Here is a 9,613-nt window from a genome sequence, read left to right on the forward strand (position 1 = left end):
GGATGAAGCAACCAGAGAAGAACTTTGGCACAGAACAACCCAGAGAGAAGAATGAGGCAAAGCCAAAATGAAATGTACTTCTTTGCTCCATCTTTGCTCCATTTCTTGCTCAGAGCTTATACACTGTCTAATTCTGTTTGCAGGGCATTATAACCACACACACACACAAAAACACATTTATTTCTACATTGCTCTCTTCCCTCTCCCTCCCAGGCATTTATTGTTTCCTAACGGGTACTTTGCTAGGCCCTGTGGACATAAAGACACTGAAGAAACAGCCTCTGGTTATGGAACTCATTGACTGGTAGGAAAAGAAAGATGAGTAGAAAATATTGGGATAATCATAGCAAACACTTCAATTCCCCTTACTATGCACCATTCTAAACATAGTACATTTATTCACTCATTCAATGCTTACAACACTATGAAGTAGATAGTGTTTTTCAATACTCCCATTTTGAAAATGGGAGGACTAATGCACAGAACAATTAAGCCACTCACCTAAGGTCACACATCTAGTAAATGGTCAGGCTGGGATTCAATCCCAGGCCTCTTAGCTGCACCCTGGAGCACTTCCTCTACCCATGATGCTATTGTGCCACAGAAGAGAGTATCAGCCCTGTCACCTCTGGGAAAGTTTCTTAGAAGAGATGGTGCCTGAATTTTGAAAATGAATATGATTTGCTCAGGCAAAGTAAGAAGGGGCCTGGTAAGTTGCAAAGAGGATTCCGGTTAAAGACAATGTCAAAGCTTGCAGGTGTGAGGGCATGGCTTGCACAGAGACTCACAAGCAGCATAAGATCACTGGGAAGGATGCAGGGTATTGTGGTAAACCCAGAAGCTGGAGAGGTAGTTGGGAGCCAGATCCCAAAGGGTCTTCTATTTCAAGCTAGGAAATGTGGACTTAATTCTAAAAGCTATGAGACACCTCTCACAAGCTCAAGGATTAGTAGACTTGAATTATAGATGCCGCAACTCTCATTCATGTGCATTTCTGAAAACCATATTGTGAAGTATGATGACTCCAAAGAGAGCAGCCATGCCTTGCTGACCATTCTCTCGCTCTCCACTCTAGACCTGCCCTCAAACACGAAGATAGTCTTTTGCTCATTCATTCATTTATGCAACATTTATTTAACAAATATTTATTAAACGCCTATTATGTGTTAGGAACTGTGCTAAGTGCTGACATTGCAAATATAAAAATGAAACACAGACCCTGCCCTGAGAGGAACAGTGTTTATTGGGGAATTGAAAATATAAACACATAGCTTCAAAACAATAGGCAAAATGCTATTTAGTGGGCATATTCGGAGTTCAGATGATGAATGACAGAACAGGCAGCAGATCTTCATGTTTAAGCACACAGACGCTGGAGCCATGCTGCTCTGGATTCACATCCCAGCTCTGCCACGTGATACCTGTATGACACTCGGCTAGTTGTTTCATTGCTCTGTCTCAGTTTCCTCATCCAACAAATGCAGATTATAATATTAACTATCTCATAGGGTTGTTACAAACATTAAGTGAGTCAACATTTTAAAGTTTCTTAGTACACTACACAAATAAAAACTCTGAAGTGACCGTGTTCCCCAGTAGATGTCACTACTACATAGCTAGTTAGGTGAGATAATATCTGAGTTCAGGCTGACCACATTAACCATTCCATAAGAAAACTGATACATAAATGGCTTTCTTCCCAAAATACAAAATATAGCAGAAGGTAGGTTGTGAAATAAATAAGAGTGAGGGGTGATGATCACCTGTTTATAAAAAGCTCTTGTAAATCTCCAGACCCACTTGGAAGTTTTAAACTTTCCCCATATTGGCTCTCTGATGGAAGCCATTTTCTCCCTGCTTTCTAAAAACCCTGGATTTGATTCCTTCAACTCAGGCCTTATCAGGGAGCACCTACTCCTTTCTAAGATGTGCAAGTCGTTTCTGAGAAAGCACGTGAATAATAATTGACAGAAGCCACCGAGGCCTAACTCTTAGAGGAACTGAAATGGGAAATTGGGACACAGTGGCATAAGGAGGAACTTTGTGAAGCAGCAGGAGGTAACTTAACTTGGGCTAGCTTTATGACAGCTGAGGCTGAGCCTACAGCTTTATTTTCCATCAGCTGACAAAGGTGAAAGTTCAGTATTTCTGATTTTGCTCCATGACTTCCGTAGATCTCAGCTTAGGTACAGCATTGGGTGAAGGTGTTTTTTTTTTTTTTTTTTCTGGTTCTTGATTCTGACATGACCAGCTTTTGAGGTAAAATGAGTAGGCTAAGATCACAAGGGTAATCATGCACTCATTTACTTGCCAGGTTTTTAAGAAAAATCTCTTTTGGTCCAGGCTTTGTGTGAGGTGAAAGGACGTGGAGATGCATGGCCCATTTCTTCAAGCATTTTACCGTCTGGACTTCCGTGGGAGAGAGAGACATGTAAACATATCAGTAAAATGCAACCTTTTAAATATGATTTAATAAATGTCAACAAAGTTTGTAAAGAAGAAATTGAGAGGATGACATGTGACCTTTGTATTGAAGGATTAATAAGAGTTTGCCATGCGGAGTAATGAGAGAACATTCCAGATAGAAATGTTACCATTTAATTCAATTCTGACACTAACTGCCTGAAGTGAGTTGAAACTCCGCAGGTTAAGGGTTCAGACCCACAAGACTGCCCCCTACTTCAGAAGCGAATCATAAGTAGAGGTTCCCCAGGTTGCCATGATTTTATATGTCTTGGCTGCAAATCAGGAGTCCCCACAATCACCTTCTCAGTTTCAATAATTTGCTGTAAATGACTCTCAGAACTCAGGGAAACACTTTGCTTACATCTCCCAGTTTATTATAAAGGATACAAATGAACATCCAGGTAAAGAGGTACATAGGGTGAGGTCAGGAAGAGTCTAGAGCAAGGAGCTTCTGTTCCTTTGCAGTTTGGGGTGTGCTATTCCCCTCCCTGGCATATAGATTCCTTTACCAACCCAGAACCTCTCTAAACCCCATGGTTTAGGGTTTTTATGAAGGTTCTATTGTATAGGAATGATTGATTAAATTATTGGCCATTGGTGATTCGCTCAATCTTCAGCCCCTCTACCCTTCCCTGGAGGTTAGGGGCTGAAGTTTCAACCCTCTAGTCACACTGCTGATTCCTCTGGCAACCAGCTCTCATCCTAAAACTATCTAGGGGCTTCCAGCCATCAGTTATCTCGTTAACATAAACTCAGGTATGGTTGAAAGGAGCTTGTTATGAATAACAAAAGATGCTCCTCTTACCTCTATCACTTAGAAATTTTGAGGGTTTTAGGAGCTCTGTGCCAGAAACTGCAGATGAAAATCAAATATATATTTCTTATTATATCACAATATTACAGAGGGTAATTTTGGGTACATAGCACAGTTTGCTCTGACCCTTGTGAAGGATGGCTCTGGTAATAACTATCAGCCTTAACACGCACTAGCTAATGATGTTAATAATTGCTAATCTTGTTGAGTGCTATCTGTCAAGCACTGTGCTAAATGCTTTCTGTGTATTACCTCATCTAATCCTCATAATCCTATAAAGAAGGCAGGATAGAATCAGACTCTGGAGCAAAGCTTGGGCTTCAGCCATCTGGAGCCAGACTGCCTGGGTTTACACACTGACTCTTCCTTATTGACTGTGTGACTTTGGAAAATTGCTCAATCTTATTTGTGCCTTAGTGTTTCCATCTATAAAATGGGGATAAAAGCACCTACCTTTGGCATATGAGTTTATTTTTGGAGAGGGCAACTCAAGAGTTAACCTGGGCTGCAAGCTGCCTTAGGCATGCAGAGCCCAGAATGATTTGAAAACCCTGCTCTGTATCCACCCATTCCTCTCTGTGAATGAATTCAAGAAATTCAACAGGTACAAGCAATCACCGGAAAGCTATTTGTTGTGATTGGAAAACACTCAAAGAAATGGAGTGCTTCATAGATGATTTAATATTTTAAAGGTGGCACATGTGAATGAGTAAGCTCAGGGTATATGAGCGAGTTTACATTCCACATCAAGGTTTTACTTAAAGTTTACATTTTGTTTAAATGAGAAGTAAGATCAATGTAATATGGCTTAAACCTTTCTCAGAAATTTATGGCTTCTTTTAATAAACCTCATAAAAGACACTATTAAACACATGCAGCGTTCTTAATGTAATGGTTCCATTCTTGAAATATATAGTATTTAGATTGCATCTAAAATGCTGTAAAAGTATCACAAAGGCTGTAAAAATATTGTTAACGGGAAGAAATCTTTTAGGGGGATAAATATTTTCTTGGAAAAGGAAAAAGCTGTGAACCTTTTAGGCAGGGAATGGCTTGGTTTTGAAAAATAACAATTTGCCTTTTTTATGTTCTTTCTGTGGTTCTACTTCAGCCAATTATTAGATTAAAGCAAGCTGTTGCTACGTGCCCTAGAAACTCAGACGGATTTGATGTTGCACCCTAAGTTTGTGAGGACAAGTTCCATTTAAAGCTTTAATGAGGTCAAGGGAATAAAGAAGGAGGCTGGCTGAGTCTTTTGTGTTATTTTAGGACTGTATCTTAGAATTACGAGGCTTGCATAATGCCATGGAAAGAACACAGAAGTTGAAGTTAAAAGCCCTCCGTTTGAGACCTGGCTCTGCCATTTACTAGCTTTGTGACCTGGGCATAATCACTCAAATGCTCTGAGGCTCGGTTTCTTGAATCTGGAAAACAGGGTTAAGAATACCTGCTGTAGCCACTTTGTAAGGATATTGTGGGGTCAAATGAGATAATGCATGAGAAAGTGCTTTGAGAGCCAGAGAGGCATAAAGTGCACATGGACTTTATTTATTTGACAAACATTTATTAAACACTTATTATGTGCACACACAGAACATTAGTGAGCCAGAGTGAATGTGCAGAGCTCACTTGGGTCAACCCTGCTGTTTTCCCCTTCCTTTTGTCCTCCCTGTATTTTGGCTGAGCCACTTATAAACCATTTTACACAGATGAGGGTCTATTCTATTATTCAAGAGAAATGTTGGCACCCTTTTTTGGTGACCTGTTTCCCTCTCTATAGATGGCTATCTTTAGAAAAAAATTTATTAAGTATAACTTAAGACATATATAGTGTGAATAATAAATAGAGAAGCACCCCGTGCTACAGTTGGAAAGAACACTTGAGTCCAACCTCTTTACAACACAGATGGGAAACAAAGGTTCACAAACGGGAGATGGTATGCCCTGCCAAATTAACTTCTCATATGCTTTAGAGAGAGATGGAAATATACGCCACACTACTATACACAAATATCAATTCAATGAGAAAAGTAACACTTCTGCCTACTGCACAGACTTATACTGTCGAGCATAACTTCACAAAACGTCATACCTTAGTCTTCCCCAGAAGGACAGTCTTAAATCAACATGGACAATCAATGAACAACTGAGATAAAATATTGAAGGTTGAATGAAGAGAAAACTCTAGCTCACGTGGCTTTTCTTATTTAGCTCCTATTAAAAGATGAAAAGATATTTAGCATTTTCCATTGGATGAGGTACATTTAAAGAAGATTTATCAATTTAGTAGACTATACAATGTTAGGTGCTGATGGCCATTAAGCCATTTGAGTTAATTTTTCTGAGATGTACATCATTTTTAAAAATTTTATCTTCACAGCACAGCTTTTATTAATAAATCTCAGAGAACTTTGCAAATATCTAGGGATGCATGTTCTCACTTGTAAGTGGGAGCTGAACAATGAGAATACATGGACACAGGTGAGACAGCCAGATGGGAAGGGCTTCCAGGCAGAGCCCCCCACCAACCTGAGCTGGGGTGGAGGCACAGAAATTCACGCCATTTGCAGTGGGGAGGAGCCTGGCCCTTCCCCTTCCTGGGTGGAACCTGGGATTAGAACTGTGAGGTGGGAAGCCTGTACTAGGAGGACTCTAGCTCCGCTGAGCTCCTGTTCCCCCTTTTTACCTTTATGCCTAATAAACCCTGCCCTGCTCACCCTTCAAAACAGTTTGCACGCCTAAATCTTTATGGCTGTGTGATAAGAACCCCGTCTTTAGCTGAACTAAGGAAAAGTCCTGCAACACAGGCAGGGGAACAACACACACTGGGGCCTGTCGGGGGAGGGTGGTGGGGGAGCGGAGAGCATTAGGGAAAAGAGCTAATGTATGCCGGGCTTAATACTTGGGTGATGGGTTGATAGGTGCAGCAAACCACTGTGACACACGTTTACCTATGTAACAAACCTGCACATCTTGCACATGCATCTGGGAACTTAAAAAAAATAAAATAAAAACTAATTTAAAAAATCCCCACAAATATCTAGCGATAATCTCTGGGGCAAGGTGGGCACAACTGCATAAAATTAACCATGTTTTAAAGATAGGGTAACTAAAATCTATGAAAATGTTATGACTTGACTGCTGTGATATCCAGAGTGCATAAATAGGGAGAAAAGAAGGTTCCTGGGCTAACAGATTCCAACAGCACTGCTCTAAATTTGTGGAATTCCTTATCCTGCTGTTGCACAATAATTGAAAGCATAGTCCTTAGAGCCAGGTTCATTGGTTTGAACCCTGGTTCCTCTACTTATCATTTGTACCATTATTGTTTAGTTGCTTAACTTTCTGCACCATATCTATCAAATGAAGATAACATGTTTCATATGAACGTTTTATTCCAAAACATGTAAACATCTTACTATAGTGCTAACACATAGTATTTGCTCAGTAAGTTAACTATCATTATTATTTGTCCTCATAGAAACATGTTTTCCCAATGTCCTGTCACACACACACACACACACCCCTTAATATATTTACCAATAATGCTTACTTTACAGTTTAATTATCAACCTGCTTTCATCGTTAAATATATATTCTTAAAGATATATTTTCTTTTTCTTCTACTACTTTATTTAGCTTAACCATGATTTCTAAACTCATAATTATTCCATTAGAAGATGAGGTCTGACGCCTTTTCCAGGAAGGGAAAATCTTCCTTTTTGTTATATGGGACCTCAGTAATTTTCCTGAAGGAAATTTTCTCCTTTATTCCATGGTGCACCTATTCTGGCACTTTCTTCCTCTGTAGTGTCTCCTGTTAAATTCCTTTCCTGCCTTGTTCTTTTTTTTTTTTTTTTTACCCTTGTCAACACTTACATTGGCGTAACCCTTTTTGCCACTGAAGACTGTGGTTCCCAGATCACATCAGCTTAAAAGATCAGAATAAACCACAAAGAAGTCTGTCTCTAGTAAACTCTACTCCCTCTTTATGAATTCTAGAATCTTGCAATTACTCTGAATGTGTCCAGGAATCCTCAGGTTTCTACATGCGTTCTCCAGTCCTTGGCTATGATGTGTTCCCCACTATATTTTCATCCTTCTTGTCCATGCCCCAGTGGTGACGTCTCTGGTTGCCAAAATTACTGACATCCCATAGAAGCAGTCAATGTCATTGGTGCTGACTGAGAATGCAATCACTGTTGTTGGTGCCTATCACCAACTCCTCCTTTCACCAGCACCATTCAGGATCCCATGAAAGCTACTCCAAGTTTCACTCTATTGACCAAACTGATGCTACCAATGTCCAATATATTTCTTAGAGCCCATGTCTCAGAGTATCCAGCACCACCTCTCTGACAGAGCTCTGAATGTAATTTTATTTAGTTATTGAAGGTACTGGCCTGTATTAGTCCGTTTTCATGCTACTGATAAAGACATACCCAAGACTGGGAAGAAAAAGAGGTTTCACTGGACTTACAGTTCCACATGGCTGGGAAGGCCTCAGAATCATGGCAGGAGGTGAAAGGCACTTGTTACATGTTGACGGCAAGAGAAAATGAGGAGGATGCAAAAGCAGAAACCCCTGGTAAAACCACTGGATCTCGTGAGACTTATTCACTACCATGAGAACAGTATTCAAATTATCTCCCATGGGGTCCCTCCCACAATATGTGGGAATTATGGGAGTACAATTCAAGATGAGGTTTGGGTGGGGACACAGAGCCAAACCATATCATGGCCCAGTGCTTTATCTCTTTTAATTTTTCATCACTTTATTATTGGTGGTACTTTCATGCTAGAACTTGAGCATTAGCCCAGGGACCTGGCTTGTGAAGACTTACAGTAATTTATATCATAATCTTCTTTGAAATCCTTTCCCTTCCATTTTGGCTTATTTTCCTTGAAACAAACTTATTTCAAACAACCCAGGGTGAAGTGCAGTGGCGCCATCTCGGCTCACTGCAACCTCTGCCTTCCAGGCTCAAACAATCCACCCACCTCAGCCTCCCAAGTAGCTGGGACCACAGGCTCCTGCCACCACACTGAGCTAATTTTTGTATTTTTAGTAGAGATAGGGTTTCTCAGTGTTGCTCAATCTGGTCTGGAACTCCTGGGTTCAAGCGATCCACCTGCCTCAGCCTCCCAAAGTGCTGAGATTACAGGCGTGAGCCACTGTGCCTGGCCAAAAGTCAGTTTTATAACCCTGAAGAGAAATGATGATGGCTTGAATTGAGGAGCCTCAGTGTGGATGGAAAGAAGTGAACCTACAGGATATGGTGGTGACTAGAAAAGGATTCTTAGGTCTCTGGCTTCTGAAATATGTTGGGTGATATTTTTCACCAAGGAGGAAGAAGGATGAGGAGGAGTTCATTGAAATATAAGGTTGAGTTTAGGCTGAGATGCAGGAGTGGAGGCAGATGTCAAAAATATGCAGTTGTATATAAGCCTAGAACTTAGAAAAAACTTTGTGCTAAAGACATTTATTTATGATGTCTAATTCCTATGATGATCACAGTTTAGACTCCCGTGTATGTTGTTGGAGATAACATAAGATCTGTGGCAGAAAATAATAACAATAATGATAATAACTCATATTTAGCCCGTATGTGTCAGGCACTGTGTTAATTCTTTTAACATGTTAATTTGTTTAATATGTTATTTCACACATCAACTGTATGACGTAAGAATGAAACCAGTTATACAGTTGAGGAATGGAAGATCAGTAATTCAAAATCTTATTAGTCTGTATAAGTAAGGACTCAGAAAGAGATATGTTTACTTTCAAAAACAAATGTTCTTACTCTAATAATACATACCTGGATTTATATTCTGTCTGTCGCTCATTTGTTGAATGTACTTGGTCAAGTAACCAGACCTCACCAGCCTTCTATTTAGTCATGTATAAAAAGTGGTTAAAGACATCCACCTCTCTAGCTCACAGAGCAGATGAAGGAACGAGTTAGATTATACATGGAAATTATTTAGCGTAATGCCTAGCATGATGGGTACCCAATCAACAGTAATATAACTGGCTTCTCCAGTTACAGCATTTCCCTCTCTGTGTCTATCCTTCAAAATGTGGATATTTGTTATTCATTTAAAAATATTTTCAGAGTTCTACTTTTAATACCATCCCATTCCACAACTAGTAAAATCAGAACAGAAAACACTTTTTGAGTCATAGCTATCTAATAAAAGGTAGGAGTGGTCACCAAGAAAACTCTGTCCTAAAGGAAATACATTTAAAAAGAAACACATGAGCTTGGCCTGGATCTTCCAGAACCTTAGAAGTTGGGAGCTGGTCCTTCAGTGGTTTGGAGCCAATATCTG

General features: G+C 39.9%; 1 annotated feature.

Moving 5' to 3' along the window:
- Positions 3,773-4,947: an enhancer, noted in NCBI's record as "VISTA enhancer hs1185". NCBI's record gives its function as "enhancer in: limb[4/6]" and the evidence as "EXISTENCE:transgenic organism evidence [ECO:0001131][PMID:17130149]".

This window comes from Homo sapiens, chromosome 1 (genome assembly GCF_000001405.40).
Source record: "Homo sapiens chromosome 1, GRCh38.p14 Primary Assembly".
In the NCBI taxonomy this organism is placed as follows: Eukaryota; Metazoa; Chordata; class Mammalia; order Primates; family Hominidae; genus Homo; species Homo sapiens.